This window comes from Homo sapiens, chromosome 1, assembly GCF_000001405.40.
Source record: "Homo sapiens chromosome 1, GRCh38.p14 Primary Assembly".
Lineage (NCBI taxonomy): Eukaryota > Metazoa > Chordata > Mammalia > Primates > Hominidae > Homo > Homo sapiens.
This window is the reverse complement of record NC_000001.11, coordinates 45,448,385-45,465,566: the sequence shown is the minus strand read 5'-3', so window position 1 is coordinate 45,465,566 and position 17,182 is coordinate 45,448,385. Positions and strand designations below refer to the sequence as shown.

The following is a 17,182-nucleotide window of genomic DNA, read 5'->3' as shown; positions in this document are numbered from 1 at the left end:
GCTCAGTTGCAATTAGCATTCTTTCTTTCTTTCTTTTTCTCTTTTTCTTTCTTTCTTTGTCTCTCTCTTTCTTCTTCCTTTCCTTTTTTCCTTCCTTCCTTCCTTCCTTCCTTCCATCTCTTTTCTCTTTCTCTCTCTCTCTCTCTCTCTCTTTCTTTTTTGGAGTCTCACTCTGTCACCCAGGCTGGAGTACAGTGGTGCCATCTCAGCTCACTTCAACCTCTGCCTCATGGGTTCAAGTGATTCTCTTGCCTTAGCCTCCTGAGTAGGTGGGACTACAGGTGCACACCACCATGCCTGGTTAATTTTCTTTTCTTTTTCTTTTTTTTTTGAGATGGAGTCTTGCTCTATCTCCCAGGCTGGAGTGCAGTGGCGTGATCTTGGCTCATTGCAACCTTCGCCTCCTGTGTTCAAGTGATTCTCATGCCTCAGCCTCCTGAGTGGCTGGGATTACAGATGTGTGTCACCATGCTGGCTAAGTTTTGTATTTTTAGTAGAGACGGGGTTTCACCATGTTGGCCAGGCCGGTCTCGAACTCCTGACCTCAGGTGATCTACCTGCCTTGGCCTCCCAAAGTGCTGGGATTACAGATGTGAGCCACCGTGTCTGGCCTAATTTTTGTATTTTTAGTAGAGACAAGGTTTTGCCATGTTGACCAGACCAGTCTGGAACTCCTGACCTCAAGTGATCCACCTGCCTTGGCCTCCCAAAGTGCTAGGATGACAGGAGTTAGCCACTGTGCCCTGCCACAGTTAGCAGTTTCTTACCTCTTCCTAGCTAGCTGAGAATGTAAAACCAGACCCATTGAGCTGCAATGAGCAATTCTGTCTTCTGTGCTGTAATATGGAAAACTAGGATTTGCCACTCTCAGGGAACCCTGAGGGCACTGAGGAGGTTAGTAAGGTATTTTGTTACGAATGAAACATATCTTGATAACAATTCAGTAAAGTTGTAGGATACAAAATCAGTATACAAAAATCAGTAGCATTTCTGTGTGCCAACAGCAAACAATCTGAAAAAGAAATCAGGAAGGTAATCCCATTTACAACAGCTTCAAATAGGATAAAATACCTAGGAACAATCTTAACCAAATAAGTGAAAGATCTTTACAATGAAAACTATAAGACTTTTTTTTTTTTTTTTTATCCAGTGTCTTGCTCTGTCGCCAAGGCTGGAGTGCAGTGATGTGATCTTGGCTCATCGCAACCTCTGCCTCCCGGCTTCAAGCAATTTTTGTGCCTCAGCCTCCTGAGTAGCTGGGACTACAGGTGTGCCACCATGCCTGGCTAATTTTTGTATTTTTAGTAGAGACGGGGTTTCACCATGTTGGCCAGGCTATAAACTATAAAATATTGATGAAAGAAATTGAAGAGGACACCAAAAAATGGAAAGATATTTAATGTTCATGAATTGAAAGAATCGATATTGTTAAAATGTCCATACTACCTAAAACGATCTACAGATTCAGTGCAGTCTGCATCAAAATACCAGTGACACTCTTCACAGAAATAGAAAAAAAATCCTCAAATTTTAGAACCACAAAAGACCTAGAACAGCCAAAAGCCTCCTGAGCAAAAAGAACAAAACTGGAGGAATCACATTACTTGACTTCAAATTATACCACAGAGCTATTGTAACCAAAACAACACGAGAATACTGGCATAAAAACCGACACATAGGCTGGGCATGGTGGCTCATGCCTATAATCCCAGCACTTTAGGAGGCTGAGGAGGGTGGATCGCTTGAGCCTAGGAGTTTGAGATGATCCTGGGCAACTTGGCAAAACCTTGTCTCTACAAAAAAAAAGTACAAAAATTAGCTGGGTGTGGTTGTATGCACCTGTAGTCCCAGCTACTTGGGAGGCTAAGTTGGGAGGATCACCTGAGCCCTAGGAGATCGAGGCTGCAGTGAGCTGTGATCACGCCACTCCATTCCAGCCTGGGCAACAGAGTGAGACCCTGTCTCAAAACAAAACAAAAACAAAAAACCAGACACACAGACTGATGGAACAGAATAGAGAACCCAGAAATAAATCCATATACCTACAGTGAACTCATTTTCAACAAAGGTGCCAAGACCATACACTGGGGAAAGGACAATCTCTTCAATGAATGGTGCTGGGAAAACAGGATATCCATATGCAGAAGAAAAACCTAATCAAAAATCTGATCAAAATGGATTAAAGACTTAAATCTAAGACCTCAAACTGTGAAAGTACTACAAGGAAACATTGGGAAAACTTTCCAGGACATTGGTTTGGGCAAAGATTTCTTGAGTAATATCCCCAAAGTACAGGTAACCAAAGCAAAAATGGACACATGTGATCACATGAAGTTAAAAAGCTTCTGCACAGAAAATGAAGCAGTCAACAAAGTGAAGAGACAACTCACAGAATGGGAGAAAATATTTCAAACTACCCGTCTGACAAAGAATTAATAACCAGAAAATATAAGGAGTTCAGACAACTCTATAGGAAAAAATCTAACAATCTGATTAAAAAATGGGCAAAAGATCTGAACAGACATTTCTCAAAAGGAGGCATACAAATGGCAAACAGATCTATGTAAAGTTCCTAAACATATTGATCATCAGAGAAATGCACATCAAAACTACAATGAGTTATCATCTCACCCTTAAAATGGCTTTTATTCAAAAGATGGGCAAATAATGCTAACCAAGATGTGGAGAAGAGGGAACCCTCGTTCACTATTGATAGAAATGTAAATTAGTACAGCCACTATGGAGAACACTATGGAGGTCCCTCAAAATAGTAAAAGTAGAGCTACAATGTGATATAGCAATCCCACTGCTGAATATATACCCAAAAGAAAGGATATCAGTATAGCGAAGAGACGTTTGCACTCCCATGTTTATTACAGCACTGTTTACAATAGCCAAGATTTGGAAGCAACCTAAATGTTCAACAAATGAATGGATAAAGAAAATGTGGCACCTACACAAATGGATTATTCAGCCATAAAAAAATGAGATCCTCTGCCGGGCGCGGTGGCTCACGCCTGTAATCTCAGCACTTTGGGAGGCCGAGGTGGGCGGATCACAATGTCAGGAGATCGAGACCATCCTGGCTAACACGGTGAAACCTCGTCTCTACTAAAAATACAAAAAATTAGCCGGGTGTGGTGTCAGGCGCCTGTAGTCCCAGCTACTCGGGAGGCTGAGGCAGGAGAATGGCATGAACCTGGGAGGTGGAGCTTGCAGTGAGCGGAGATCACGCCACTGCACTCCATCCTGGGCGACAGAGCGAGACCCCATCTAAAAAATAAAAAAAAAAAGAGATCCCTTTTTTTGCAACAGCATGGATGGAACTTGAGGACATCATGTTAAGTGAAATAAGTCAGGCACAGAAGGACAAACTTTGCATGTTCTTACGCATTGCTGAAGCTAAATATTAAGACAATTGAACTCATGGAGATAGAGAATAGAATGATGGTTACCAGAGGGTGGGAAGGGTAGTGTGTTGGGGGTGTTGAGTGGGAAATGGGATGGTTAATAGGTACAATAATATAGTTAGATAGAATGAATAAGATTTAGTATTTGATAGCACAACAGAATGACTACGGTCGGCAATAATTCATTGTATATTTTAGAATAACTGGGAGAGTACGATTGGAATGTTTGTAACACAAAGAAATGATGAATGCTTGAGGTGATGGATACCTCATTTACCCTGATGTGATTATTACACATTGTATGCCTGTATCAAAATATCTCATGTACCCTGTAAATATATATACCTACTATGTACACATAAAAATTAAAGAGTTTATATCTCAAAAATGAAAAAGTCAGTTGATGGCAAACATCGAATTGTTCAGTTTAGCAGACAACTATGTTTTATATAGTCAACGATGTTTTATGTACTTTACATATGTTTTGTATATTACTTCAATATCTTTTATTTTTCTAAAGTTTCTTTTTTCTTTTCTGTCTCTGTTCAAATTATAATCAGCCTAGCCTTCCTCTGCACTTAAGTCTCTGTTCTTTCTACAGCTCTCATAGTGGAAAAATACTGAGCTAAGTAATAATGAAATGGAAGAAGTTTGAGCTTTGGTGCTGGATAGAACTTGGTTCCAGTTCTGGTTCTACTAGCTCTGTATCCTTAGCAAGTTACTTCATCTTCTGAGCCTGTATTTCTTTTTCTGTAAAATGGAGATCAGACCTACCTTGCTGGGTTTTTTTGTTGTTGTTGTTTTGAGACGGAGTCTTGCTCTGTCACCCAGGTTGGAGTGTAGTGGTGTGATCTGAGCTCACTGCAATCTCTGCCTCTTGGGTTCAAGGGATTCTCAAAGTGCTGGGATTACAGGTGTGAGCCACCGTGCCTGGCCACGTTTTGAGATTAAATGAGGAAATGCTTTTAAAATTCCTGATGTTTAAAAAAAAAAAACAGTGGCCAGGGGCAGTTCACACCTGTAATCTTAGCACTTTGTGAGGCTAAGGTGGGAGGATCACTTGAGGCCAGGAGTTCAAGACCAGCCTGGGCAATACAGTGAAACCTTGTGTTTCCAAAAAAAAAGCTATTATGACCCATGACTCTGGGTTTTAAACAAGCTCCTCAGGTAGTTTGAAGCACATTATCAACAGACATACTTTGAGAAATACACTACCCTTGGCTTTTTGGTTTCAAGTCTAGCTTTGCTAGTAAATAGGTTATAGCATTAACTTTTAGCATTTGCACTTTCTGGGCCTTATGTTTCTTCAAATATAAAATGAATGACTGAAGTTGATGTTTTCTACTGGCTCTAAAATTAAGAAAATTTGGTTTTTAAAATTATTATTATTTTTTTAGTGATGAGGGGTCTTGCTGTGTTGCCTAGTCTGGTCTTGAACTGGCAGGCATGATGGCACATGCTTGTAGTCCCAGCTACACAGGTAGCTGAGGCAGGAAGATTGCCTGAACCCAGGAGTTTGAGGCTGCAGTGAGCTGTGATAGCACCATTGCACTTCAGCCTGGGCTTGGATTAAAGGAATGAGCCCCTGCACCCGACCCTATTTTATTTTATTTTTATTATTTAATTTATTTACTTTGAGACAGAATTTCACTCTTGTTGCCCAGGCTGGAGTACAATGGCATGATCTCGGCTCACTGCAACCTCTGCCTCCCAGGTTCAAGCTATTCTCCTGCCTCAGCTTCCCGAGTAGCTGGGATTACAGGTGACTGCCACCACGCCCAGCTAATTTTTTTGTGTTTTTCGTAGAGAGAGGGTTTTGCCATGTTGGCCAAGCTGGTCTCAAACTCATGACCTCAGGTGATCTGCCTGCCTTGGCCTCCCAAAGTGCTGGGATTTTTCAGGCGTGAGTCACCATGCCTAGCCTCTATTTTATTTTTAAAATTCCATTTATATTTTAGATTCAGGAGGTATGTGTGCAGGTTTGTTACAAGGGTATATTGTGTGGTGCTGAGGTTTGGACTTCTGTTGATCCCACCACCGAGATAGTGAACACAGTACCCAATAGGAAGTTTTTCAGCCCCTGCCTGTCTCCCATTTGGGGGCCTCCAGTGTCTGTTGTTCCCATCTTTATGTTCATGTGAACTCAAGATTTAGCTCCTAGTTATAAGTGAGAACATGCGATATTTGGTTTTCTGTTTCTGTGTTAGTTCACTTAGAATAATGGCTTCCAGCTGCATCCATGTTGCTGCAAAGGACATGATTTCATTCTTTTTTGTGGCTGCAAATTTTTTGTCTTATAACCCTAAATTTTTTTGAGACAAGGTCTTGCCCTGTTGCCCAGGCTGGAGTGCAGTGGTGCTATCACAGCTCACTGCAGCCTCAAACTCCTGGGCTCAGGCAATCCTCCTGCCTCAGCCACCTGTGTAGCTGGGACTACAGGCGTGTACCATCATGCCTGGCTAGTTTTTACATTTTTTCATACAGACGAGGTCTCACTATGTTGCCCTTACTGGTTTCAAACTCCTGAGCTCAAGTGATCCTCTTGCCTTGGCCTCCCAAAGTGTTAGGATTATAGGTATGAGCTACTGTGGCCAGCTAACCCTAAATTTTTGTTCTTGTGGATGTAAGTATTTGGTCTGGTGGTGCTGATGCCACTTTTTGGCATAGGTTCAATAGAGGTACTTAAATGTTTTGTTATTTGGGAACTCAGAGTATTCTTCCTTTTTTGAAGACTGTGGTAGAACTAGATTAACTAGATTCAGGTAGATCTCATGGAACCTCAGGATGCAGTTAGGCCTTAAGAATTGGGGATTAGAGCAGAATAGGGAATTCAAAAAGTTCCCTTCCTTTTTTTTTCTTTGAAAATTGGCCTCAATCTCTTGACTTCTTCTGCCTTCCAGGCAGTATTATAGAAAATGCCCCTGGCCAGCAGCTTCTGAGTTTACATGGCTTCTATTTTAGAAAGCCGCCATATTGAGACTGGACTATTTAATTCCAATTGCACATTGCCAGGAAAGAAACTGTGGTTGTACACACTGGGTACGGTGCTGACTTCTGGCAATGGGTAAGGAGGCAGACTCATGTTACTAAGATGGCCCTGGGATTCCTGCCACTTTTCTGAGTTGCAGAGCTGGTTAGAAGTGGTGGTGGTAAACTGAGTAGGTATCCACCTCCTTTATGAAAGCATTTCACTAATTGAGGAGTCACAATGTTGTATTTTGCATAGAACCCTTACAATTGAGTCTCATGGAAAAAAGTAGAAAGAGGGAGAGACAGGCTAAAAGAAAAAGTAGGCTTGTGCTTTTATTCTTAGTTATGTACCAGATGGGATGGAGCCTTCTATAGTTACTTCTACTGGACTGTGCTTTTTCATCAACAGTGAATTTTTAGATTGCTTTTGGATATAGTTTTCTTTTTTAAAAATTATATAATATATAATTTTGAAGTCTCCTTGTAATGTTTGTTTTATATATTTGGAATTAATTTTTGAAATAAAATATTATATGAGGCTATAAAGGGTATTGATTGGTAGAAAGAAGCACAGGCTTTTGAATCAGACAGGCTTTGCACTTCAATTTTTTTTTTTTTTTTTGAGACAGTGTCTCACTCTGTTGCCCAGGCTGGAGTGCAGTGGCACGATCTCGGCTCACTGCAACCCCTGCGTCCTGGGTTCAAGTGATTCTCCTACTTCAGCCTCCTGAGTAGCTGAGATTACAGGTGCTTGCCACCACGCCTGGCTAATTTTTGTATTTTTAGTAGAGATGGGGTTTCACCATGTTGGCCAGGCTGGTCTCAAACTCCTGACCTCAAGTGATCCGCCTGCCTTGGCCTCCCAAAGTGCTGGGATTACAGGCGTGAGCCACTGCACCCAGCTTCCATTTTATCTCTGCCTTTTAGTGACTGATTTCTTGATCTCTCTGTGAAATGAACATAATAATCCTTATATCATGGATTATCTGAGAATCAAACGAGATGATGTATGTCAAGCTCTTATACTATGTTTCCTAGAAAGTAGGTGCTCAATGAATGATAGATATTATCATTGTTATTTTGTTACTTAGAATGTAATTGGTGATCTTCATGATATTCTACTCATGGTAAAGACTGACTATATCTTGGGCTTTAAATATATCAGTGTTATTTGAGGGTAAAGACATAAAACATTTTTTAGATCTGAAAACCAGGAACTAGAATGTGAAAGGAAATATTTTTGCATTGAGCATTTATTGCTTTACATGTATTTATTCATTAAAGATTTCAGTGGAAATTTTTTTGATCTCTTTAGTGTCAAACCAGAAGAGAAGTAAAATTCAACAAAAATTTATGTGTGGAGTTCCTTCTTAAAAGAAGAAAAAAGTGATTATTTAGACTATGGATCGGAGCAAACGGAATTCAATTGCAGGATTTCCTCCACGTGTGGAGCGTCTTGAAGAGTTTGAAGGAGGTGGTGGAGGAGAAGGAAATGTGAGCCAGGTGGGAAGAGTTTGGCCATCTTCGTATCGAGCTCTTATAAGTGCCTTTTCCAGACTGACGCGTTTGGATGATTTCACCTGTGAAAAAATAGGGTCTGGCTTCTTTTCTGAAGTGTTCAAGGTGAGTGAGTCTTCAGCTTTTCTCATATTGTCTTGCTGTGGTCACATTTACTGCAGGTTGATAGTTGTGTTTAATTAGGATGTAGGATTTGCCTAATAAAGGTGCTGTGGATCTTGAACACTGTTCTAAATTCTCCTTTCAAGCTATTTATTAACTTATATTAAGATATTTTGTTTGAATCCCAAAAATAATATGCTGGTTAAAAATTCAAATAACATAGGATTCTCTTCCACCTCACCTCTACCCCCAGCCACACATGTGTGTATGTATCCACACATACATTCTCCAGTAATAACCACTATTAACAATTCAGTATGTATACTTCTGGACTCTTTCTGTGCATATACATATATTATGCACACACCTTAAATACATATATTAAAATTATATATACACACACCCACATATATAGTTTTTGTTTGCTTATCTTCAGTAAAATTGATAGCTGGGTACAATGGCATGCACCTGTAGCCCGAGCTACTCAGGAGGCTCGCTTGAGGCTGTGAGTTTGAGAGCAGCCTGGGCAACATAGCAAGGCCCTGTCTCAAAAAATATGAGCCCATAATGCTCCTAAGCAATCATATTTCCCTGTTTCACTCACTCCCTCAAGAGAGTATTTTGTACCTTTTCTTCTCTCATCAAATCCCAGTATTTCCTCACTAGTCCTCATTGTCAGTAATTAATGAATTGCTTCCCAATTCACTGAGAAAATTGAAGCAAGCAGAAGAGAACTTCTGCAGACTTCCATTACTACAAATAGCTATCAACACACATCTTTACCCAGTTACTTGGCCTTTATACCTTGTACTATGGATCAACTACTCATGCTCCTAAGTCCATTATTTCTGTTTATATTGTACATTCCATTTCCACTTGCCTACTAATAGGCATTGCCTAAGAAATTCTCCCCTCTCTTTTCTACATTGTATTTTCACTACTAAGTATTACCATTAACATGTTAAAAAAATTCTTTTAAGGAAAAAAAAAACCCAAATATTTTGGCTCTGTTATTTCCCCTTTATTTTATTTTATTTTTATTTTTTTTGAGATGGAGTCTCACTCTGTTGCCCAGGCTGGGGTGCAGTGGCATAATCTTGGCTCACTGCAACCTCTGCTTCCCGGGTTCAAGCAATTCTCCTGCCTCAGCCTCCCTAGTAGCTGGGATTACAGGCGCCTGCCACCACACCTGGCTAATTTTTGTATTTTTAGTAGAGACAGAGTTTCACCATTTCGGCCAGGCTGGTCTTGAACTCCTGACCTCAAGTGATCCACCTACCTCAGCCTCCCAAAGTGCTGGGATTATAGGCATGAGCCACCGCGCCCAACCTATTTTATTCTATTATTTTATTTTATTTTATTTTATTTTTTGAGACAGGGTTTCGCTCTGTCACCCAGGCTAGAGTGCAGTGTGGTGTGATCATGGCTTACTGCAGTCTTGACCTCCCTGGACTCAGATGATCCCCCCACCTCAGCCTCCAGAGTAACTGGGACTACAGGTGCATGACACCATGCCCAGCTAATTTTTGTATTTTTTGGAGAGTTGGGGTTTCACCTTGTTGCCCAGGCTGTTCTTGAACTCCTGGGCTCAAGTGATCAGCCTGCCTCGGCCTCCCAAAGTGTTGGGATTACAGGTAAGAGCCACCACACCCAGCCCCTATTGTTTCTTTTATTAATAGGTATACTTTCCCATGTCTTGTTTTTTTTTGGACCAAAACAACTCCATAGAGTTGTCTCTATGTACCATTTCCAGCTTCTTTCTTTCTAATGTGTCTTTCTCTAAAATACTTTTTATTGCAGTAAAATATATATAACATAAATTTACCATCTTAGCCATTTTTTAAGTGTACAGTTCAGTGTCATTAATTACATTTACAATGTTGTACAACCATCTCCATTATCCTTTTCCAGAACTTTCTCATCACCTAAACAGAATCTCTGTACCCATGAAACGTTAACTCACTAATTCTCCCTTCTGTAACTGTAAATGGGTTCATTGCCCAATGCACACAGCAAGTCAATAAGCTGAGACTCCAGGTTGCAGCAGAGAAAGGTCTAATCATAGGGCCGCCAAATGAGGAGATGGAGGAAAACCTCAAATTCATCTCCCGTAAGAGATGGGGGCTAAGGTTTTTTAAGGGTTTTGAAGTGGGCCGAAGTGTGGCAATTGTTTATTTGTTAAAGAGTACAGGATGAAGTCATGGGACAGGGAGATGAAGAAGCTGTATTCTCTTGCAGATCCCGTTCCTCTGTGGGGGACTTCAAACTGGTTGCTGGAATTCAGGGGTCTGAAAAACATATTAAGCAATCCTTAAACAAAAGCCTTATGATTATAATGTCAGAGATCCTGTTATAGGAAAGATGGGGATAGAAATAAAATCTTAAAGTTTTATGACCCTAATGTCAGAAATCCTATTCTGTAGGAACAATAGGAATGCAAATAGTCAGTATCTAGTGCTATATGACTTTTAGCAACCAGGAAGTGGGCCAAAGTGCGGCCTGATTAATGCTTAATTATAACTATATTTCTGTCCAGAACCTGGCATGCACTTCTTGTGAACCCTGTGGGGGCAGTTTCACTCCCACCCACTAATATCTTCTACTTGCTGTTTTTATGAATTTGCTTATTCTAGGTACCTTATATAAGTGGGTTAATATAATATTTATCCATTTGTGTTAGAGTTAATTCACTTAGCATAGTGTTTTCAGGGTTATTCATGTTGTAGCATATATTAGAATTTCATTCCTTTTTATGGCTAATATTGCATTGTGTATATATGTCATATTTTATCTGTCGATGGTGGGGCTGTTTCCACCTTTTGGCTATTGTGACTAATGCTGCTATGGATATTGATATACAGGTATCTATTTGGTTCTTTGCTTGCAATTCTTTTGGGTATTTAGCTGTAAATAGAATTGCTGAGTCATATGAGTAATTCTATGTTTAAGAAAAGATTATGGTAAAATACATACAAAATTTACCATTTTGGCTGGGCATTGTGGTTGACGCCTGTAATCCCAGCACTTTGAGAGGCCAAGACGGGAGAATTGCCTGAGCCCAGGAGTTTGAGACCAGCCTGGGCAACATGACGAAACTCTGTCTCTGGGGGAAAAATAAAATAAAATAAAATAATAAAAAAATAAAAAATAAATCTTTTTCTTACTATCTTAACAGTATTTAATTATGTTAAGTACATACTTAACACAACTGTTAAGTATGTACACATGGTTGTGCCTCCAAACTCCAGAACTTTTTCATTTTGCAAAACTGAAACTCTGTACCCATTAAACAACTCCTCATTTCTCCATTCCCCCCAACCCCTGGCAACCACTATCCTACTTTATTTCTAAGAGTTTGACTACCCTAGATATCTTATGTAAGTGAAAACATACAGTATTTGTCTTTTTTTGACTGCCTTATTTCACTTAGTCAATCTATGTTTAACTTTTTGAGGACCCACCAGACTGTTTTCCGTAGTGGTTGTGCCATTTTACAGTTCTATCAGCAATATGTAAGGGTTCCAGTTTCTCCATGTGCTCACTGACACTTATTTTTCTTTTTCATGGTAATCATCCTATTTGGTGTGAAAAGTGGTATCTCATTGTGGTTTTGATTTGCATTTTTCTAAACAACTAGTGATATTGAGCATCTTTTCATGTACTTGTTGACCTTTTTTGTATATCTTCTTGGAGAAATGTGTATTTGAATCCTTTGCTCATTTTTGAATTGCATTGTATTTATATATTTTATATATAGGGAATATTTATCCCTTACCAGATATATGATTTGCAAATATTTTCTCACAATTTGTAGTTTGTCTTTTCACTCCCATGATGGTGTCCTTTTTTGCACAGAAATTTTAAATTCTGATTAAGTCAAATTAATTTTTTCTTTTGTTACCTTTTGCTTTTTGTGTCAATCCAAGGAATCATCACCAAATCCAATATCATGAAGATTTTCCACAATGTTTTCTTCTAAGAGTTTTATAGTTTTAGCTCTTACATTTAGGTTATTGATCATTTTAAGTTAATTTTTCAATATCGTATAAAGTAAGGGTCCAATTTCATTCTTTTGCTTGAGGATACCAAATTTTACAAGCACCATTTGTTGAAAAGACTGTCCTTTCCCCATTGAATGGTTTTGGCACCCTTCATGTCACAGTCAATTAACCATGTTAGAGAGGGTTTATCTCTCTCTCTCTCTTTTTTTTTTTTTTTTTTTTTTGAGACAGGGTCTCATTCTGTTACCTAGGCTGGAGTACAGTGGTGCTATCTCACTGCAGCCTTGACCTCCCAGACTCAAGTGATCCTCCCACTTCAGCCTCCCGAGTAGCTGGGACTACAGACACACAGCATCATACCTGGCTAATTTTTGTATTTTTTTTTGTAGAGTTGTGGTTTCACCATGTTAAGGCTGGTGTTGAACTCCTGGGCTCAGGTGATCAGCCTGCCTCTGCCTCCCAAAGTGCTGGGATTACAGGTGTGCACCACCATGTCCAGCCTCTTTTTTTTCTTTTCTTAGAGACAGGATCTCACTTTGTCATCCAGGCGGCAGTGCAGTGGCGTGATCATAGCTGACTGCATCCTCCTGGACTCAAGTGACTCTCCCATCCCAGCCTCCCAAGTAGCTGGGATTACAGGCATGTTACTGTCACGTCAGGTAATTTTAAAGTGTTTTGTACAGATGGAGTCTTGCTCTGTTGCCCAGGCTGATCTTGAATTTCTGGACTCAAATGATCCTCCTGCTTCAGTCTCCCAAAGTGCTGGCATTATAGGCATGAGCCACTGCACTCAGCTTTTTTTTTTTCTTCTTTTTTTGAGACAGGGTCTTGCTATGTTGCCCAGGCTTGTCTTGAACTCCTGGGCCTGGTCAGTCCTCCTGCACCTGCCTCCCAAAGTCCAAAATGCTGGGTTATAGGCGTTAGCCACCGTGCCCAGGCTTTTTCTTAAGATGGGGTCCCTCTCTGTGTTGCCTAGGCTGGTCAAACTCCTGGCCGCAAGCAATCTTCCTGCTTCAACTTCCTGACTTGTTAATTCATTTTAATTTTTGTACTCTGATTGTTAGTGAAGTCCTTTTGTTTATTGGTCATTTATAAAACTTGTTCACTTATGTTCTTACCTGCCTTCTTCTGTTGTGTTGATTTTTTTTGTAGTTCTTTACATATCCTGATAGTAATTCTTTTTTGAAGTCATTATTATGTTAATTTGGCTTCTAGATACTTTCTTATTCAAGCCACCATTGCATTTCACAGTGAAAAACACAAAGCCTGTCCAATGTATTTGCATACATTTAATGCAGAATTTGATCCCAACACTGTAATCAATAAACATCTAGGAAGATGTGGTGAATATTACTGATAAAGTAATGGGAAGTAACTGAAGAATTTTGTGCAGCCTGAGTTTTAACTAAGACTTAATTTTTAATTAAAAGCAAAACTTATATTTTCAAAAGAGTTTGCCCCTCCAAAAAAAAACCAGATTAGATAGCTTCTAAACTATATTAAATTATACCAAATAAATTTTTTTTTTTTTTTGAGACGGAGTCTTGTTCTGTCTCCCAGGCTGGAATGCAGTGGTGTGATCTTGGCTCACTACAACCTCTGCCTCCCGGATTCAAGTGATTCTCCTGCTTCAGCCTTCTGAGTAGCTGGGATTACAGGCACCTGCCATCATGCCTGGCTAATTTTTATATTTTTGTAGAGACAGGGTTTCACCATGCTGGCCAGGCTGGTCTTGAACTCCTGACCTCAGGTGATCTGCCTGCCTCGGCCTCCCAAAGTGTTGAGATTACAGGTGTGAGCCACCACTCCCAGCCACCAAATAAAGATTTTAATTATTATAAAACAAAGGTTCGTGCTTCAAAGAAACACCACCTCCACAAATGTCGAGCCAGTTTAGGTGCTGCCAATAGAATCCTAAAGAGTGATATCTCTGGTTCATGTGAACAATTTCCACAGTCCATGCGCTTTGAGGACAATTCAGGTCCTAAGGCAGACCATGCTCTACAGAGCTGCCCCTTCACCACCCCGGGTACCACCCTACCTTGTGCTGGGCAGGCAGCATGTGGCTAGGAATGCTGCCTCCCTCAGGCTTCCCAAATCAAATCAAGGGCACATATGGCTCAGCCACACTTTTGCACTCATATTTACTACATACTTCTGCTTAACTTTATCCCTGAAAAATGTTAGATGGTTTGCTGTCACACATCTGCTGCCCCAGATGAGTTACATGGATGTAGCAATGGACACATCCTCAAACACAGCATGAAAAGGGCACAGGAAGACTCTGGTCCAGCCCACTCCCACTTCAAAATAATTTGGCCTTGGGTTCTTCCTCTAAAAACACAAGTAGATATAAACTCTAACTATAAAATCATGAATCTATGGAACTTTAGAATAATTAACAGCTCCCAACACTAAAGTCCAGCTGTAAGGCAGTGTTTGTCCATGCTGATGAGGCACCATCAGCACCAAATCCCAGACTCCAGTGTGCTGGGGACATCTGACGCCTGCCTGATAGTAATTCTTTATTATGTATGTTGCAAGTATTTTCTCCTTGCCCATCTTTTATCATTTTAGTTTTTATGTAGTTAAACCTTGGTTTGGCAGTGGTGGCTTACACCTGTAACCCCAGCACTTTGGGAAGCTAAGACAGGAGGATTGCTTGAGTCCAAGAGTTCAAGACCAGCCTAGGCAACAGCACACCAACATGGCACATGTATACATATGTAACAAACCTGCACGTTGTGCACATGTACCCTAAAACTTAAAGTATAATAATAATAAAATTTAAAAAAAAAGAAAAAGAAATAAATAAATAAATACAAAATAAACATATCAGTCTTTTCATTTACAACTTGTGGATTTTGCATATAGCCTAAGAGGTTTTGAAAATACTGTTTTCCTCATGCTTTTATGACAGATTTCGTTGAATATAAGATGCCATTGATTATAAGATGTACTTCTTGCCAATTAAACTATGACAATTCCCATTACTTAGAAGTTTAATTTTTTATTTAAGAGGCCTTTATGGACTTGATGCAGCATAGTTGTGGGTTTTGTGAGTCTCGTTTTGTTGCCCAGGGTAGAGTGCAGTGGTGCGATCTCAGCTCACTGCAGCCTCGACCTCCCGGGTTTAAGCAATTCTCCTGCCTCAGCCTCCCAAGTAGCTGGGATTTCAGGCTCATGCCACCACGCCCAGGTAATTTTTGTACTTTTAGTAGAGACGGGATTTCACCATATTGGTCAGGCTGGTCTCGAACTCCTGACCTCAGGTGATCCACCTGCCTTGGCCTCCCAAAGTGCTGGGATTACAGGCGTGAGCCACTGTGCCCAGCCTATTAATTTTAAAAAAATTAATTCTTCCATATTCTGCTATAGAACTTTTATAATTTTAATATTTAAATTTTTGATCCATTCGGAATTTATCCTAGTGTAAGGTATAAAACATTGATCCAATTCTATTTGCTTTTCAGATGACTACCTAGTTATGTTAACATCTTTTGACTAGTTCATCTTTTCCTTACTAGTTTAAGAAAATATCTCTATCATACACTAAATTAGCATATATATTTCAGCCTACTTCTGGATTTTCTGTTTTATTCCATTGTTCTGTCTATTCAAATGTCAATCACACCAGAATTCAAGGATAAAAATGAAATTTCAACCCACTGGGGGGAGAGTAGACTAATTAAAAAATTGTATTTAGACAATTAACTATCTGAAAAAAGATAAAATTAAATGTTTATACCTAATTTCAAACACTGAAATAAACTCGAGATGAGTTAAGCATAAAAAACTGTCTACTACATTTCATCATTTCTAACACTTTCACTATTTTGAAATTGAGATGTCTTAAAATTACTTCCAGGCACTTGTACGTGTGCATCAAAACTTGTAAAATGGGTGTCAGTGGTTAAAGAAACACCTGGATATAATAATGTAGCAATCTCAAGAAATTATGCATCACCACACTCTTGATAGCATGAAATTAATTAATTAATTAATTAATCTATCCTCCATGCTTTTTCATGGCTTAATAGCTCATTCCTGTTTAGCACTGAATAATATCCCATTGTCTCAATCTACCACAGCTTATCTGCTCACCTATTGAAGGACATCTTGGTTGCTTCAATATGTTGACAATTATGAATAAAGCTGCTGTCAACACGCATGTGTGGGGTTTTTTTGTGGACATAAGTTTTCAGTTCATTTGGATAAATATCACAGAGTGCAATTGGTGGACTGTATGGTAAAAATATGTTTAGTTTTATAAAAAACTGCCAAACTCTTCCAAAGTGGCAGTGCCATTTTGCATTCCTTTTTTTTTTTCTTTTTTTTTTTTTTGAGACAGAGTCTCGCTCTGTCACCCAGGCTCGGGTGCAGTGGTGTGATCTTGGCTCACTGCAACCTGTGCCTTCCGGGTTCAAGCAATACCCTCCCTCAGCTTCCTGAGTAGCTGGGATTACAGATGTCCACTACCACGCCCAGCTAATTTTTGTGTTTTTAGTAGAGGTGGGGTTTCACCATCTTGGCCAGGCTGGTCTTGAACTCCTGACCTTGTGATCCACCTGCCTCAGCCTTCCACCGTGCTAGGATTGCAGGCGTGAGCCACTGCACCCTGCCCCATTTTGCATTTCAACCAGGAATGAATAAAGAGTTCCTGTTGGTCCATATCCTTGTCAGTATTTGATGTCAGTGTTTTGGATTTTGGCCATTCTAAGTGGTATATAGTAGTATCTCATTGTTATTTTAATTTTCAAATATCTAATGGCATAAGATATAGTTTGGATGTTTGTTCCCTCCAAATCTCATGTTGAAATGTGATTCCCAATGTTGAAGGTGGGGCCTAGTGGGAAGTGATTGGATCATGGTAGTGGATCCCTCATGAATGGTTTAGTACCATCCCGTCGGTGATAAGTGAGTTCTTGCTCAGTTTGTTCATGTGACATCTGGCTGTTTAAAAGAATCTGGGACCTCCCCCTCCTCTCTGTCTCTTGATCTCACTCTCCCCATGTGACATGCTGCCCCCACCCCGTCACCTTCCTCCATGGTTGTAAGCTTCCAGAGGCCCTCACCAGAAGTAGATGCTGGCACTGTGTTTCATATACAGCTTCCAGAACTGTGAGCCAATTAAACCTCTTTTCTTTATAAATTACTTGATCTCAGGTATTTCTTTATAGC

At 39.9% G+C, this 17,182-nt stretch overlaps 1 protein-coding gene across 2 annotated transcripts in view; it reads left to right on the top strand.

Moving 5' to 3' along the window:
* TESK2 (testis associated actin remodelling kinase 2) overlaps positions 1 to 17,182 on the top strand; it is a 147,281-nt gene that overhangs the window by 25,597 nt on the left and 104,502 nt on the right. The window contains exon 2 of one of the 2 annotated variants that reach the window (NM_007170.3): positions 7,696 to 8,003. The exons of the other annotated variant lie outside the window; for it this stretch is intronic. Within the exon in view, the coding sequence (NP_009101.2) occupies positions 7,782 to 8,003 (222 nt within the window). The 5' untranslated portion in view covers positions 7,696 to 7,781. The remainder of the gene's footprint in view (positions 1 to 7,695; positions 8,004 to 17,182) is intronic. 2 annotated transcript variants of the gene reach the window in all.